General features: G+C 45.6%; 1 protein-coding gene across 1 annotated transcript in view, besides 5 other annotated features; it reads left to right on the top strand.

The window, feature by feature from the left end:
- Positions 1448-1742: a silencer, noted in NCBI's record as "tiled region #15351; HepG2 Repressive non-DNase unmatched - State 12:CtcfO". NCBI's record gives its function as "represses a minimal TATA promoter and a strong SV40 promoter by Sharpr-MPRA in HepG2 cells {active_cell/tissue: HepG2}" and the evidence as "EXISTENCE:reporter gene assay evidence [ECO:0000049][PMID:27701403]".
- Positions 9985-10154: an enhancer, noted in NCBI's record as "experimental_23771 CRE fragment used in MPRA reporter constructs". NCBI's record gives its function as "activates a minimal promoter by MPRAs in K562 erythroleukemia cells, with activity observed for both the introgressed and non-introgressed 12:104603591 variant alleles {active_cell/tissue: K562}" and the evidence as "EXISTENCE:reporter gene assay evidence [ECO:0000049][PMID:34662402]".
- Positions 15812-16428: an enhancer, noted in NCBI's record as "H3K27ac-H3K4me1 hESC enhancer chr12:104609333-104609949 (GRCh37/hg19 assembly coordinates)". NCBI's record gives its function as "activates a minimal SCP1, AML or CMV promoter by ChIP-STARR-seq in naive H9 embryonic stem cells {active_cell/tissue: H9 hESC(naive)}" and the evidence as "EXISTENCE:reporter gene assay evidence [ECO:0000049][PMID:30033119]".
- Positions 15899-15988: a silencer, noted in NCBI's record as "silent region_4791". NCBI's record gives its function as "represses an Ori minimal core promoter by ATAC-STARR-seq in GM12878 lymphoblastoid cells {active_cell/tissue: GM12878}" and the evidence as "EXISTENCE:reporter gene assay evidence [ECO:0000049][PMID:35858748]".
- TXNRD1 (thioredoxin reductase 1) overlaps positions 16036-17112 on the top strand; it is a 134529-nt gene continuing 133452 nt past the window's right edge. The window contains exon 1 of the mRNA NM_001093771.3: positions 16036-16150. Coding sequence (NP_001087240.1) covers positions 16060-16150 — 91 coding nt within the window. The 5' untranslated portion in view covers positions 16036-16059. The remainder of the gene's footprint in view (positions 16151-17112) is intronic.
- Positions 16429-17044: an enhancer, noted in NCBI's record as "H3K27ac-H3K4me1 hESC enhancer chr12:104609950-104610565 (GRCh37/hg19 assembly coordinates)". NCBI's record gives its function as "activates a minimal SCP1, AML or CMV promoter by ChIP-STARR-seq in naive H9 embryonic stem cells {active_cell/tissue: H9 hESC(naive)}" and the evidence as "EXISTENCE:reporter gene assay evidence [ECO:0000049][PMID:30033119]".

Raw genomic sequence — 17112 nt, forward strand, 5'->3', positions numbered from 1 at the left:
ACTAAAAATACAAAAATTAACCAGGCATAGTGGCAGTCACCTGTAATCCCAACTACTCGGGAGGCTGAGGCAGGATAATTGCTTGAACCCAGGAGGCGGAGGTTGCAGTGAGCTGAGATTGCTCTCCAGCATGGGTGACACAGTGAGACTCTATCCAAAAAAAAAAAAAAAAAAAAATTAATGGCAAAAACTGTGATTACTTTTGCACCAACATAATACCTTCAGATGATTTTCTTGTTGCATGTTAGGATCCTTTTCTCTCAGATGGAAGGACTCCTTTTAGCATTTCTTGTAAGACAGGTCTGGTGGTGATGAATTTCCTGAGCTTCTGTTTGCCTAAAAAAGTCTTTATCTTTCCTTCGTGTTTGAAGGATAGTTTTGCTGGGTATCACATTCTCAGTTGGCAGGGGTTTTTTCGTTTTTTGGTTTTTTTTCCTCCTTCAGCACTTTGTGTATGTCATCTCACTCTCTCCTGGCTGGTATGGTCTTTGCTGAGAAGTCTGTTGCCAGATAAATTGAAGCTCCTTTATGTGTATGTTATTTGCTTCTTTCTCTTGCTACTTTTTGGATCCACTTTTTGTCCATGACTTTTGAAAGTTTGATTATTATATGCCTTGGAGCAGTCTTATTTGGGTTGAATATGTTTGTTGATCTTTGGCCTTCCTGTATATGGGTATTTATATTTTTCACTAAGTTTGGAAAGTTTTCTGTTATTATTTTGTGGGAGCTTTCTATGTCTTGCTCTTTCTCAACTCCCTCTTGAAAACCAATGACACTTAGATTTGCTCTTTTGAGGTTATTTTCTAGATCCTGTAGTTGTTCTTTATCTTTTTAATTTTTTTTCTCCTCTGATTGCGTATTTTTAAAGCTCATTTATTTTTTTCTTCTTCATGATCGATTCTGCTGTTGAGACTCCGGTGCATTTTTCAGTTCAGCAAATGTGTGTCTCAGTTCCAGGATTTCTGTTTGATTTGTTTTTATTATTTAAATCTCTTTCTTAAATTTCTCTGATAAATTTCTAAATTGTGGGCCAGGCACGGTGGCTCACGTCTGTAATCCCAGCACTTTGGGAGGCCAAGGTGGGTGGATCACGAGGTCAGGAGATCGAGACCAGCCTGATCAACATGGCAAAACCCCGTCTCTACTAAAAATACAAAAAAATTAGCCAGGCGTGGTGGCACGCGCCTGTAGTCCCAGCTACTCAGGAGGCTGAGGCAAGAGAATCAATTGAACCCAGGAGGCAGAGGTTGCAGTGAGCTGAGACGGCACCACTGCACTCCAGCCTGGGCAACAGAGTGAGACTCTGTCTCAAAAAAAAAAAAAAAAAAATTCAAATTGTTCCTCTGTGTTATCTTGGAGTTTGCTGAGTTTTCTCAAGGTTGCTATTTTGAATTTCTGATCTGAAAGTTCACATATTGCCATCTTATTGGGGTTAATCACTGGTTACTTCTTGCTTCATCCATTTGGGAGGTCATGGTTCCCTGTTTGCTGTTGTTTTTATGCATATATGTCTAGGTCTTTCCAATGATGGATTGTTTATTTTGCTGTCTAGGTTAGTGTTTCTAGCATACGTGTTTTTAGAGGTTTTGTGCAGGCTGCCTGTTGATTCCCTTAGCCCTAGATCACTGCCTCCTTTTTGGCACTAGATGGCACCATAAGCCTAGATTTGCTGCAGTTCTCATGAAAGTTTGAAGTGCTGCCTGTCCTGAATTCAGGGGGAGGGTCCCAAAGAGAATGCCCCAGCTGTCTGGGGAGGCTGGCTAGGGGTTCATGCCCAGAGGACCTATGGCTCACACCTCCTACAGCATCATGCTCCTGAAATACGTCTCTGATTCAGTATCTGCTTTGTCTGAATGGAGACCAGCCCCCGTTTCACACACTGGGTTTCACTGTGTCCCCAACTGCCCTCAAGGGTCCTTCTCTCTATAGGCACTTGCAATGCTTCCCCTGGATTGAGGCAGGAATGGCTTTTGTGCATAGGAATCCAAGATAATGGGGAAGCAGAGTGTCCACTGAAATCTCAGTTTTCCCAGTGTAGAAGCCTTGAGTCCAGGATAACTTTTCCACATGGTGCCTGGCTGTTTGCAGAAATGGGCATCACAGAGAAAGAAATCTGTTTCTCCTACCTTCTGCTCACAGTTTTTCACTTCTCTGTGGCTCCAGGGATTATCACAGCTTCAGTTTTGAGTTCTGGGATATCTGTGGTGATAATCTTTTCTTTCTTTTAATAGGTTTTTGGGAAACAGGTAGTGTTTGGTTACATGGATAAGTTCTTCAGTGGTGATTTCTGAGATTTTGGTGCATCCAACAGTTGAGCAGTGTGCGCTGTAGCCAATATATAGTCTTTTATCCCTCACCCCACTCCCACCCTTTCTCCAAGTCTCCAAAGTCGATTGCCTTTGTGTCCTCATAGCTTAGCTCCCACTTATAAGTGAGAACATATGATGTTTGGTTTTCCATTCCTGAGTGACTTCACTTAGAATAATGGTCTCCAGCTCCATCCAGGTGAATGCCATTATTTCATTCCTTTTTATGGCTGAGTAATATTCCATGGGGGTGTGTGTGTGTGTGTGTGTGTGTGTGTGTGTGTGTGTGTGTAATTTTCTTTATCCACTCATTGATTGATGGGCATTTGGGCTGGTTGAAATGTTTTTGCAATTGCAAATTATGCTGCTATAAACATGCATGGGCCAGGGTGCGGTGGCTCACGCCTGTAATCCCAGCACCTCAGGAGGCTGAAGCGGGTGGATCACGAGGTCAGGAGTTCAAGACCAGCCTGACCAATATGGTAAAACACTGTCTCTACTAAAAATACAAAAATTAGACAGGGGTGGTGGTGCATGCCTGTAATCCCAGCTACTCAGGAGGCTGAGGCTGGAGAATTACTTGAACCAGGAAGGCGGAGGTTGGAGTAAGCTGGATCTCACCATTATGCTCCAGCCTGGGCAAGAGTGGGACTCTGACTCAAAAAAAAAAAAAAAGTTCCCACTCTGCCATGTGTCCTCTGCATGTCTTTAGGCAAGTCATTTCACCTCTCTGGACCTCATGGGGTTTCTGGGAGACACATGTGAAATAATAAATACAAAATGGCTGGAAAAACAGATAAAGAGTGAAGCAGGAATAATAATTGTATAGTTGCTTGACTCCTTTTCCCCATCCCTGGCATGAGGGAGGCATGGGACATCGTAAATGCTCAATAAATATCTGCTAAATAAATGGATTCTAGAGTCAACCGAAGGTAAAATACATGCTATTGTATGGAATTAGATTTGTTCTCACTCGGTGCACACCATGTTCTTCATTAGATGAATCAAATTTAAATACCACATTGAAAATTCTAGAGTCAACTTATTCCTCGATTGAGTTGATTCATTTCTTAAATTGCTTTCTTTGTAAGAGCATCATTAAATTGTGAACACTCTTATGTCCCATCTTTTTCCTTTTATTGCTGTGTAGATAAAGATTTCTCAGGACTGTTTTTCAGATAGCAGACAATATTGTTTTTAATATAGAATCCAGTCACAGGAGTATCTTTCCATAGGACACCTAGCTCCAGAAACTCAGAGTGGAAAGCCCATTTTAATAAAATAAAAATCAAATTTGTCCCCAAGCTGGTTGTCCTTTAGTCATTCTTAATCCTCAGTGTTTTTTTAGGCTAATCTGATTTTCACCCCTAGAAGCTGACTGATTTGTTATATCATTGAAACTAAATCCTCATTTGCATGACACAAGAAAAGCATCCTAATTTTCATCTTAAAGCTGTCTTCTGATTGTAAATGTAAAGATTCTCTCTAGAAAGATCCATAAGAACATGCTAACAGTAGTTGCCTCCAGGTAGAGGAATTTGGGGCATGGGGTAAGGTGGAAGAGAGAGATTTTTTAGTGTAAACTCGTGTGTGTGTGTGTGTGTTTGACAGAGTCTTGCTCTGTTGCCCAGGCTGGAGTGCAGTGGCACAATCTTGGCTTACTGCAGCCTCCGCCTCTGGGGTTCAAGTGATACTCATGCCCCAGCCTCCCAAGTAGTGTGATTACAGGCATGTGCCAGCATGCCCAGCTAATTTTTGTATTTTTAGTAGAGACGGGGTTTCACCATGTTGGCCAAGCTGGTCTCGAAGTGATCTGCATGCCTCGGCCTCCCAAAGTGTTGGGATTACAGGCGTGAGCCACCACGCTCGGCCTCTTTTGTATATTTTGGGGGAAAAAATTATGTATGTATTACTTTTTTTAAAAACCCACTATTCTTTAGGCAAGAACCAGTAGTAACCGTGTGTTTAACCAACTCTTAGTCACTGGGGGGAAAAAATTAAAATGGCAGAGAAAATTGTTCTTGTATTGGAAGACAAAGCCAGGCCCTAAGAAAATTATAAACTAGATGAAGTTTCTTTACAGGGACTAATGTGTAGGATTTCTCAACACTGTGGGACTCAGAAAAAATTGAAAGCAATTTATAGTTTTGCTTTTTTTTTTTTTTTTTTTTGAGACAGAGTCTTGCTCTGGTGCCCAGGCTGGAGTGTAAAATGGTATGATCTTGGCTCACTGCAACCTCTGCCTCTCGGGTTCAAGCAATTCTCCTGTCTCAGCCTCCTGAGTAGCTGGGACTACAGGTGCCCACCACCATTCCTGACTACTTTTTGTATTTTTAGTAGAAACCGGGTTTCACCATGTTGGCCAGGCTTGTCTTGAACTCCTGGACTCAGGTGATCCACCTGCCTTGGCCTCCCAAAGTGCCAGGATTACAGGTGTCAGTCAACGCACCTGGCCTCATTTTGTATAAAGGAAAACATGTGGTATCTCGGTTGTTAATGTTTAGAGATTAAATCAACCAAGTAATTGCGGAACCCTTTTTTAGGAGCAAAATGTTTTGTCACCGTTTAGACTTGAGGCCTCAATTTCCTCACTTGCCAAAATGGGGGTAATGAAGTAGGAGAAGCTCCCTTATCCCCCTCTCAGGGCGTGGGACAGGGATGTGGCTTGCTTCTTTGGTGTCCCACTGCTCAAAGCCCTAGGGGGAGCATGCAAATGGGCAGATCATGGGGAATGTTTTTTGGGCTCGATCCTACAGCAGCATCCAGGGTTGAGTGTTTACAGCTCCTCAAGCCCTAGTTGGCGCGCGTTACAGTGCGCTCTTTCAGCTTTGCTGTCTGTAGGTGGCTTGTGTTAATCAGCTCAGTTAGACTCTTTCCTTATCCCAAGGACAGAGGGCTTTCTGTATCCCAGGTCCTTGCTCTAATGTACTGGAAAAATCGGATCACACGGGGCCTTGGAGGATGAGTGCAAGATTTTATTGGGTGGTGGAGGTAGCTCCCAGCGAGATGGGTGGGAAGCCAGAAGGGGGAAGATGGATGGGAAGCCAGAGTGTGAAGGTTGTTTTCCCCTGAAGCCAGGCCGCCCAGCGGACTCTCCTCCGACTGCCCCTGGCCGAATTCCCCTTGGTGTCCATGTCGTTCTGCTGTCACTGGCCTGCTGGTGTCTGCTGGTGTCTGTTGGTATGCTCCTCTGTTCCTCTTGATGTCCAGCCACTTGTGTGTGTGCGCACTATGGTCCTGGGTTTTTATGGGCACAGGATTGGGAGGCGTGGTGGGCCAAAAGGCAACCTTTTGGGCGTGAAAACAGAATGCCTGTCCTCATCTAGGCCTGTGGGCACAGGCCTGAGGGTGGAGCCCTCGCCAGGGACCCTGTCTTTTCTACCCAGCATTTCCCTGCCCTCCTACCATATCAGCAATAACGCCAAATCCTATAAGTTTTTGGAGTTTTTCACAGGAGACGTTTGTAGAACACAGCCAACAGGGAAAGGCAGAAAACATTCGTTTCTTGAGTGTCTACTGTGTGCCACTTACCATGCTGATTGTTTGCTTTTATTTTATATCTTCAGAGCTATCATGCCACATAGGTATTATAATAGTTTCGATTTTATTTTAGAGGCAGGGTCTGGCTCTGTCATGCAGGCTGGAGTACAGTGGTGCCATCATAGCTCACTCCAGCCTTGAACTCCTGGGCTCAAACTGGTTGGCTTTTAATCACCTCCAGAGTAGCTGGGACTACAGGTATGTGCCACCACGCCTGGTGAATTGCTTTTTTTGTTTTTTTGTAAAGACAGGGTCTTGCTATGTTGCCCAAACTGGTCTCAAACTCCTGGCCTCAAGCAATCCTTTTGCTTTGGCCTCCCAAAGTGTTCAGATTACAGGTATGAGCTACCATGCCTAGCCTATAGTTCTCATTTTATAAAGAAGATGGAACCTCAAAGAAGTTCAGTAACTTACTCAAAATCACAAGCTAATGAATGCAAGAAGTAAGACTCCAATTTAGGTCTGTATGATAAAAAAAAAAAAAAAGCCTGGCAAAATCCTGGCTTCCCGGGGCTGGGTGTGGTGGCTAATGTCTGAAATTCCAGCACTTTGAGAGGCAGAGGTGGATGGATCGCTTGAGACCAGGAGTTGGAGACCAGCTTGGACAACATGGTGAAACCCTGTCTCTACTAAAAATACAAAAATTAGCCAGGAATGGTGGCACGTGTCTGTAATCCCAGGTACTCAGAAGGCTGAGGCAAGAGAATCACTTGAACCCAGGAGGTGGAGGTTGCAATGAGCCGAGATCATGCCACTATACTCCAGCCTGGGCAACAGAGTGAGACTTCGTCTCAAAAAAAGGAGAAAAAAAGAGCCTGGCTTCGTACTCTGCTTGCCTAGGATTTCAGTGGTGCCCGTTCAGGCACCTTTTGAGGCACAGACTGATCCTGACTGGACTGCATTAGGTGCAACAAACCCTTCAGGTTTGTCTTCCAGTGACCCACCACAGGTGGTTTGGAGGCCACCTTCCCATCCATCACAACTACAATAAAAGAAACCAACATTCATTTCATCTTTATGTTGTCTGCATATTTGGTTGTTTTGAGTGACTAGACCACAGATGGTCTTACAAATAGGTGACTGAGTATTACAATCACTTTTAAAATGTAACACAGTTTGTGTGTGACTCAAGCAAAAAGTTTGAATATTAGGGAAATTAGATCTAGGGAAATGGCCCTAAAGTCTAAATTTCAGTGCAAAATTCAAACAACCAGAAAGTTAAAATAACTAGAACGTTTTCCTTTTCTTTTTTTCCTTTTCTTTTCTTTTCAGACAGAGCCTTGCTCTGTCCCCCAGGATGGGGTGCAGTGGTGCGATCTTGGCTCACTTCAGTCTCCACCTTCCAGGTTCAAGCGATTCTCCTGCCTCAGCCTCCCGAGTGGATGGGATTACAGGTGCGCACCACTACACCCAGCTAATTTTTTTACTTTTAGTTTGTTTGTTTTGTTTTTGAGACGGAGTTTCACTCTGTTGCCCAGCTCGGAGTGCAACGGCGCGATCTTGGCTCAATGCAAACTCCACCTCCCACATTCAAGCGATTCTCCTGCCTCAGCCTCCCGAGTGTCTGGGATTACAGGCGTGGACCACCACGCCTGGCTAATTTTGTATTTTTAGTAGAGACAGGGTTTCTCCATGTTGGCCAGGCTGGTTTTGAACTCCTGACCTCAGGAGATCCAACTGCCTTGGCCTCCCAAAGTGCTGGGATAGCAGGCATGTGCCACCATGCCCGGCCTAGAATTATTTTCAGTATATAATTGGTGATTGATGTTTTGCTGTAGGCTATTTACATAATTCTCCTAGGCACTTAGCTGGGCCCCAGGGACACAAGGTGAATTAGACACAGGCTGCCCTTCACAAGTTCACAATCTTGTAGGTAAAACAGTGGTGGTATCACAGGGTAGCTTGGGGGAACTTTAGTTATTCCCTCCTCCCAGCCTCCCAGCCACAGCTATTTCTTGATATAGTTAGAGTTTTCATGATCTCATGTGAAGTACTTGGTCAACCCAGCTTCAAATTCTTTCTCTATCCAGTCTCTGCCCTTTGAAGTCCTCTGTAAGAGACATTCTGCAGCTGCTCTGAGGAATAAATACCATGCAGCCCAAGTGCAATGATAGGAGGACAGAATGTTCTGGAAGCACCTGGCCCAGCAAGCCCATTGCTGAATGAGGGGTAGAGATAAGTCAGCCCAGGAAGGGTGGCCCACAGGTGATGTGGCTTCACGGTGCACTTCGCTTTGGGGAAAGCAGCGGGAGACACAGACTAATGAAGGGCCAACTCCTGTGCCATGCTCAGGAATTTGCATGTTGATTTGCGTGTCTCTCCTCTCTTCCAACCACACTGAGATGGCAGGAAGCTTGTTTTGTTTTGTTCTCCTTTGGAGTCCTGGCTCCTCCCACCGTGATTTATTGGCCTGGAACAGGTGTTGAGTGTGTGTGCTGAATGGATGCAGATTTTGGGAACCGCATGAGGCAGAAATGTCACAGAAGGACTTGCGGGCAGCCACGCAGAGGAAGGATATGATGGGGACAAGACTGAAGGTGGAGAAGACACTGTGGCTAGGACTAATCATCAAGGTGGGGTGTGGGGAATGAGGGGTGGGGAGACCAAGACACTGGCTGTAGGGCTGGGGAGCAGCAGAAGGATTAGAAAGATATTTAGGTGGTAGAATGAGCAGAACTTGGCTGGCTAGGGATAACTGTAACCATGAATGATGGTACGAGGAGCAGGCAGGGGGAGGAAAGTCCATGTAAGGCCAACAGATTTAACTAGAACAGAGTATTCCTCCAACCCATTCCAGAAATGCACTGTATCTGAATTGCCAGCATTTAAAGATTCACCACGTAATCATGGAACCTAATCTTGTTGAGACTTCTAGGGTTTTGCTGATAAACTCCAACTGTGGAGAGGTCCTCTGAGGTGGACTGATGGTTTATTTTAAATGGGATGTTCTGAATATGGTTTGATGGTGGCTTTTCCATCAATCATCTCATACTGAAAATTATGGCAGAGGTGGAAGGAGGGTGGTGAGTTCTATAAATTATTATCCTGTGGCAACTAGAATAGTGGCCTGCACACAGCAAGGGCTCCATAAGTAACTTTTTTTTTTTTTTTTTTTTTTTTTTCTGAGAGACAGGGTCTCACTTTGTCACCCAGGCTGGAGTGTAGGGGTGTGATCACGGTTCACTGCAGCTTTGAAATCCCGGGCTCAAGTGATCCTTACACCTCAGCCTCCCAAGTAGTAGCTGGGACTACAGGCGGGCACCACCATGCCCACCTAAGTTTTTTTTTTAATTTTTTTGTAGAGATAGAGTCTTATTATGTTGCCTAGGCTGGTCTTGAATGCCTGGGCTCAAGCGACCCTCCCACCTCAGCCTCCCAAAGTACGGGATTACAGTCGTGAGCCAATGCTCCCAGCCCACAAGTAATTTTTGAGTGAATGAATGCTGTCCCAAGATCATCAGCTTGTAAATTGCATTGATGTTCCTTCTTGCCTCCTTCAGCAATGCTGTTCTTGGTGCTGAGGATACAGTAGTAAACATAAAGACAGAAGTTCCTGCCCTGATGAGTGTCCATTATTTTGGGGAGGGCAGACAATAACCAAGATAGTTATGTAAAATGTCTACAGCATAGCATATCAAATTATTATGCTATATTATAGGTTACCTTATGTTGTTATATTATTATTACCATTTTGCATTATATAGAAGGTGATTCCTTTCTCTCTTTCTTCCTTCCTTCCTTTCTTTCTTTCTTTCTTTCTCTTTCTTTCTCTCTCTCTCTCTCTCTCTCTCTCTCTCTCTCTCTCTCTCTCTCTTCCTTCCTTCCTTCCTTCCTTGATATAGTTTTGCTCTTGTTGCCTAGGCTGGAATGCAATGGCACGATGCCGGCTTACCACAAGCTCCGCCTCCTGGATTCAAGTGATTCTCCTCCCTCAGCCTCCGGAGTAGCTGGGATTACAGGCATGCACCACCATGCCCGGCTAAATTTTTTTTGTATTTTTAGTAGAGACGGGGTTTCACCATGTTGGATAGGCTGGTCTCGAACTCCTGACCTCAAGTGATCCACCTGCCTTGGGCTTCCAAAGTGCTGGGATTACAGTCTTGAGCCACCACACCTGGCCTATTAGATTTTTTTTTTTTAATCCCAGATACATAATAATTTCAGTTGCGACTATTTCAGGATGTATCTCTAAAAGAAAAGTACTTTTTAAAAACCTTACTACACAAATAGAATCACAAATAAAACATTAACAATCTTAAGTATCCAGTCCATATTCAAAATGTTTTCATATATAAATAATTTTTTTTTTTTTAAAGACAGAGTCTTGCTCTTGTCACCCAGGCTGGAGTGCAATGGTGTGATTTCGGCTCACTGCAACCTCCGACTTCTGGGTTCAAGCGATTCTTCTGCCTCAGCCTCCCAAGTAGCTGGGATTACAGGCGCGCACCACCACGCCTAGCTAATTTTTGTATTTTTAGTAGAGATGGGGTTTCAACATGTTGGCCAGGCTGCTCTCGAACTCCTGACCTCAGGGGATCCACCTGCCTTGCCTCCCAAAGTGCTGGGATTGTAGGCGTGAGCCACCACGCCCGGCCACAATTTTTTTAAAAATTAATTTGTTGATTTTTTTTGACATCAGAACCCAAAGTGCACTGCATTTGGTTGATGTGTCTCCTGTCTCTCTCTCTCTCTCCCTCTTTATATTGTAGTAAAATATACATGAGAAATTGACAATTTTAAGCATTTTAAAGTATACAGCTTAGTGGCATTAAGCACATTTACACTGTGTGGAACCATCACACCATCCGTCTCCAGAACTACTTCTATCTTACCAAATTAAAACTCTGTACCCATTAAATTAAACTCCTAATTTCCCCCTCCCCCAAATCCCTGGCAACCACTATTCTACCTTCTGTCTTTGCGAATTTGACAACTCTGGGTACTTCATATATCCTAAGTCTCTTTTCATCAATAAGTTCCCACTTCCTCTTTTTCTTCCCTTGCAATTACTGTATTTGTGGATGAAATTGGCAGATTCTGGATTTTGCCATTTACATCCCCATAGTGTTGTTTAACTTGTTCCTTTATCTTCTTTTTCCTATAAGCTGGATGTAGGGAATTTATTTATTTATTTATTTATTTATTTATTTATTTATTTAAGACGGAGTCTCGCTCTGCCGCCCAGGCTGGAGTGCAGTAGCGGGATCTCGGCTCACTGCAAGCTCCGCCCCCCGGGTTCACGCCATTCTCCTGCCTCAGCCTCCCGAGTAGCTGGGACTACAGGCGCCTGCCACCACGCCTGGCTAATTTTTTTGTATTTTTTTAGTAGAGAGGGGATTTCACCATGTTAGCCAGGATGGTCTCGATCTGACTTCGTGATCCACCTGCCTCGGCCTCCCAAAGAGCTGGGATTACAGGCGTGAGCCACCGCTCCCGGCCAATTTATTCATTTTTAAATATCATTTGAAGGTAGAGTGGACAGGACTTGCCGGCCAATTGAAGGTGGAGTATGAGAGAGAAGAATCAAGGATGACGCCAAGGTTTTTGGCCTGAGCAAGTGGAAGAATGGAGTTGCCATTTTCTGAGATGGGGAAGACCGTGGGAATAGGTTTGGGAGGGGACAATCTGCTTGGACATTTTAGGCTTGAGATGTTTATTAGACACTCAAGTGGAGATGCCAGGTGCCAGGTGAATATGTGAGCCTGGAGTTAATGAAAGTGGCTGCAGCAGGAGACATAAGTTTGGGAGTTGTCAGCAGATAGATGACATTTAAAGCTCTGAGACTAAAGGAGATCACCAGAGAAGCAAATGCAGATTATAAGAGAGAGAGGAGGGGAGAAGTTCGAGGACTGAGCTTTAGTACTTCAATATTAAGTGCCAGGAAAATTGAGGAGGAACCAGCAAAGGAGACTGAGTAGGGGCATCCAGCACAATAGGAGAAAATCTAGGTTAGTGTGGTACCCTGGAAGCCAATCATTCTAAGGAGGAGATTATGAAACATGGGTCATATGTCATGGATAGGCCAAGTAAGATGAGGACTGGGAATTAATTATTATTGGGTAGAAAAGAGATGCCCTCCCCCAGGCATGGTGGCTCACGCCTGTAATCCCAGCACTTTGGGAGGCCGAGGTGGGTGGATCATCTGAGGTCAGGAGTTTGAGACCAGCCTGGCCAACATGATGAAACCCCGTCTCTACCAAAAATATAAAAAATTAGCTGGGTGTGGTGGCATGCACCTGTAATCCTAGCTACTCAGGAGGCTGAGGCAGGAGAATTGCTTGAACCCGGGAGATGGAGGTTGCAGTGAGCTGAAAGTGTGCCTCTGCACTCCAGCCTGGGCGACAGAGTGAGACTCTGTCTCAAAAAAAGAAAAGAGATGCCCTCCCTTTTGATGCTCTTTAAACAAATCATGTATAATTAAATTAAAACTCAATGGCCAGGTGCAGTGGCTCACGCCACTTTGGGAGGCCAAGGCGGGTGGATCACCTAAGGTCAGGAGTTCAAGACCAGCCTGGCCAACATGGTGAAACCCTATCTCTACTAAAAATACAAAAAAGTAGCCAGGTGTGGTGGCGTGCACCTATAGTCCCAGCTACTCAGGAGGCTAGGCAGGAGAACTGCTTGAACCCGGGAGGTGGAGGTTGCAGTGAGCCAAGACGGCACCACTGCACTCCAGCCTGGGTGACAGAGTGAGACTCCATCTCAAAAAAAAAAAAAAAATTAGGCCGGGTGCGATGGCTCAAGCCTGTAATCCCAGCACTTTGGGAGGCCAAGGCGGGGGGATCACGAGGTCAGGAGATCGAGACCATCCTGGCTAACACGGTGAAACCCGTCTCTACTAAAAATAAAAAAAAATTAGCTGGGTGTGGTGGCGGGCGCCTGTAGTCCCAGCTACTCAGGAGGCTGAGGCAGGAGAATGGCGTGAACCCGGGAGGAGCTTGCAGTGAGCCAAGATCTCACCACTGCACTCCAGCCTGGGCGACATAGTGAGACTCCATCTCATAAAAAAAAAAAAAATTAAAAAAATTAAATCTCAAAACAAAGTTCCCAGGGAAACATTCTTTTCATGTATAGGAATTAGTGGAGTGTGATGTCATAGTAATAAGAGAGGTTAGTGGTTAAGAGCAGAGGCTTGGAAATTAGGAAACCTGGATTTCAGTATCAAGCTGTGTGATCCTGTGCAATTAATCCCCTAAGCATCAGGATTCTCCTCTGTAAAATAGGAATAATAAGAGACCCTTCTAAATGTGGCTCTTGCAGGAAAAACATGAGATAAGCATACTTTTATGCCAGTAAAGGACTTAGCAGGATGCCTGGCTCGCCGTAAGTACCCAACAAATTGTTGGCTATTATAAATATGATAGGATGACACAGGTAGGCACATGACTCTCAGATACTTTTGCCTAGGTGTTTAAAATAACAGGAAAGCCATCATCTTAGTTAAATACATGTACTAAATAGAGAAAAATACATGACAGCCACAGTTGGAATTTTGATGATAAAATGGTAATTTTAACATAAATTGAATAGCATATTTAAAAAAAAAATCTCTGAAACAGTCATTCCAGTGGAACCAAGGAACTGTAGACCTGGCTCGCAGAGGGAGGGAACTTTGCTTTTAAAGGGTCCTGGCTTAGTTGCATTAGTTACTACAGACACCAAACACTTGGATGAAGTTGTTATTAGGATTTACTTTAGGGCCGGGCACGGTGGCTCACACTTGTAATACGAGCACTTTGGGAGACTGATGCAGGTGGATCACCTGAGGTCAGGAGTTTGATACCAGATTGACCAACATGGTGATACCCTTTTTCTACTAAATACAAAAAATTAGGCAGGCATGGTGGCTGATGCCTGTAATCCCAGCTACTTGGGAGGCTGAGGCAGGAGAATCACTTGAACCTGGGAGGTGGAGGTTGCAGTGAGCCAAGATTGTGCCATTGCACTCTAGCTTGGGCAACAAGAGCAAAACTCCATCTCAAAAAAAAAAAAAAAAAAAGAAAGAGAGAGAGAGAGATTTACTTTAGCTTTGTGCAATGTCTGTTATTAAAAGCCTTTGGTGGCCGGGCACGGTGGCTCATGCCTGTAATCCCAGCACTTTGGGAGGCTGAGGTGGGTGGATCACAAGGTCAGGAGATTGAGAACATCCTGGCTAACATGGTGAAACCCCGTCTCTACTAAAAATACCAAAAAAAATTAGCGTGGTGGTGGACGCCTGTAGTCCCAGCTACTAGGGAGGCTGAGGCAGAAGAATAGCGTGAACCCGGGAGGCGGAGCTTGCAGTGAGCCGAGATCGTGCCACTGCACTCCAGTCTGGGCAACAGAGCGAGACTCCATCTCCAAAAAAAAAAAAAAAAAAAGCCTTTGGTTCAGTTTTATTTGTTTTCTGTGTTTAAGCAAATAAACACCCAGTGTTTTCCAAGAGCATTTTGACTCTGGGCTGCTCTCCAGAGAAGCAGGATATAAGCTTGTCCACAAACCCAAATGAAAACAAAGGGCCCACACAATTGCCACGCATCTGGTGACCAGACAAGTTCACTAAATCTCAGCTGGGGTGGAAGTTCCTTGAGACCAGGGAATTTGAGTCACCTTGTAACCCTAAACAAAGCCAGGCATAAGTTGGATGCTTACCATATGTTAGTTAATTGAAAGAAGGAAAAACAGAGCACTGCACTGATAGAGAACAGTGACTGTGCACCTGATGTGCCGCAATGTGGTTTGGTGTTAAAAAAAATCACTCTCATTCATTACTAGTAGGAGTTCAAATGGGAACCACAGTTCCAAAAAAGCAATTTTGGCAACGTGTAATGACAGCCTTAAAACTATAAACACAAAGATGTTCCCTGCAGCCTTATTCATAATTTTTAAAAATAAAAAACAAACTAAACATCTAATAATAGGCTATGTAATCGTCCAGTAGCTCTAGTGGATGGACTATTACATTATTATAATTATTCAAATTAATATTTTCCCGCTTCTTCCCTGCTTTCCTTCAAGAGGTGGGGGAGGCCACCTGGCCCAAGCTGAAGGCCAAGATACAAGAAAAAAATGCAAAGGTTCTATTTTGGCAGCGTTTACATGGGCAGGGTGTCGTGGGGAGGCTGGCGGAGGGAGTGGGAGCAGGTGACAGAGAATATAGGGTAAGTTAGAAGGCTCTCAGTGCTGGTAAAAATAAAATAGAGTAAAGTAAAGGGTGGGGGTAGAGTTGAGGGGGGCGTGATCAGATTTCTGTTCAAATAGGATGGTCTTTTTGCTGTGAACTTAAGACTGCTCTAAGGCCAGGCGCAGTGGCTGACGCCTGTAATCCCAGCACTTTGGGAGGCCGAGGCGGGCGGATCACAAGGTCAGGAGATCGAGACCATCCTGCCTAACACGGTGAAACCCCGTCTCTACTAAAAATACAAAAAATTAGCTGGGCATGGTGGCACACGCCTGTAGTCCCAGCTACTCGGGAGGCTGAGGCAGGAGAATCGCTTGAACTTGGGAGGCAGAGGTTGCAGTGGGCTGAGATCGCGCCACTGCACTCCAGCCTGGGTGACAGAGTGAGACTCCGTCTCAAAAAAAAAAAAAAAAAAAGACTGCTCTAAAAAATAAAGTGTATTAAAAAGAAACTACGATGTTCAGTGTATGCTTCATCTACGGTCAAAGAGGCAAAGACTGAAGTGACAGTGGAAGCCAGGTGGTTATCTGGGAGGCTTACAAGACTATGTGATAGTATGGAAAATACTAGTATTAAGTGAAATGCTGGATGCAAAACTATGCATAGAGGGGAAAAACTGGAAAGAAATAGTAAACACAGCAAAAGTAGTTTGTGTGAAGGATAAATTTTTTAAAATTATTTTTTGTAGAAACAGGGTTTCTCTACATTGCCCAGGATGGTCTCAAACTCCTGGGCTCAAGCGATCAATCCTCCCACCTCGGCCTCCCAAAGTGCACAGGTGTAAGCCACCGCGCCCAGCCGAAGGATAAGGATTTTGGGTGGTGCGCTCTTTTCTCCTTTCCATTTCTGCATTTTCCAATTTACCTTTAGCGACCGTTCTTTCCTGTTAAAAAAAAAAAATTCACGACCTTGAAGAAGATACACGGGCTATGACTTCGCTGTTGTCACCGAGCGCCCCGCCCACCGCGTTCTCCGACCCGCGGCCGGCAGGGGGCTCGCGGCCTCCGCCAGGCGTCCTTCGGCTCCGTCAGTTCCCACAGGGCCTTGTGCGACATGGGCTGCGCCGAGGGCAAGGCAGTGGCGGCGGCCGCCCCAACGGAGCTGCAGACGAAAGGCAAGAACGGCGATGGCCGCCGTAGGTCAGGTACGACCGAGGGCGAAGGCCTGGTCCCCAGGTCGACGGGCCGAAGCGGGCCTTCCGGCCGGGGTTGGGGATAAAGTGCCCCGGAGCCCTGGCCTTGAAGCCCCTCACTGGAGTCAGTGACTGACCGCGCGCCACGCTGGAGACCCCAGAAACGCTCCCCCAGGTCACCCCGGGAGACGGAGGCCGGCGGCCGGCCGAGGGCTGCCCCGCCCGCTGGCTGTGAGAGAGGTGGGAGGTGGAAGGAGGAGCGGGCCCGCCGCGAGGACCTGCCCGGAAACCTGTCGGAAACCGAACCGAGATCTCGGCAGCGACCCGCCTGATTTCGCTCAGGGCCCGTTAGGGCGTCCTCTTCCTACAAGCACCGTGTTTCCAATGAAAGGTTACGGGGGAAGCGACCAAACCGACAGCCGAGTCCGGGGGTGCCCCTTCACCTCTCCAGAAGCCCCCGGCCCACTCCCAGCATCCTCCTCCATCGAGAATCTTGTCCGACACGCCTTCCCGGCCCCCTTTCTCCATCCCCTTGAATTTTGGGCACATTTCTCCCACCATCATCCCGCTTTATCCTTTCACTTGTTCTTCCAGAAGAGAAAGCTCCCAGTCTCTTCTCCATTGTCCGGATAATGCCAATAATGGCTAGTGGTTACTAAGCACTGACATGAGAGGGGCCTTTGGAAGCACTAGACATGGGTAATAATCTTGGTTCATGTTTCCAGCCATACTGAGAGATTTATCATAAACCCCATTATACAGATGAAGAAACTGAGAAGCAAAGAGGTTATAAAACTTACCCAAAGCACACAACTAGTAAGTGGAAGAGCTGGGATACCAGTTGAGGCCATCTGACTCAAAAGCCCTGGTCATAGTCATATGGCCGCCTCCACCTTTTTTATAGGCTTGAGAAAGTGAGGCTCCAAAAAGTGCCTTGCCCAATGGCTAGAATTATTAAATGCTGTAGGATCTGC

Source organism: Homo sapiens, chromosome 12 (genome assembly GCF_000001405.40).
Source record: "Homo sapiens chromosome 12, GRCh38.p14 Primary Assembly".
Classification (NCBI taxonomy): domain Eukaryota; kingdom Metazoa; phylum Chordata; class Mammalia; order Primates; family Hominidae; genus Homo; species Homo sapiens.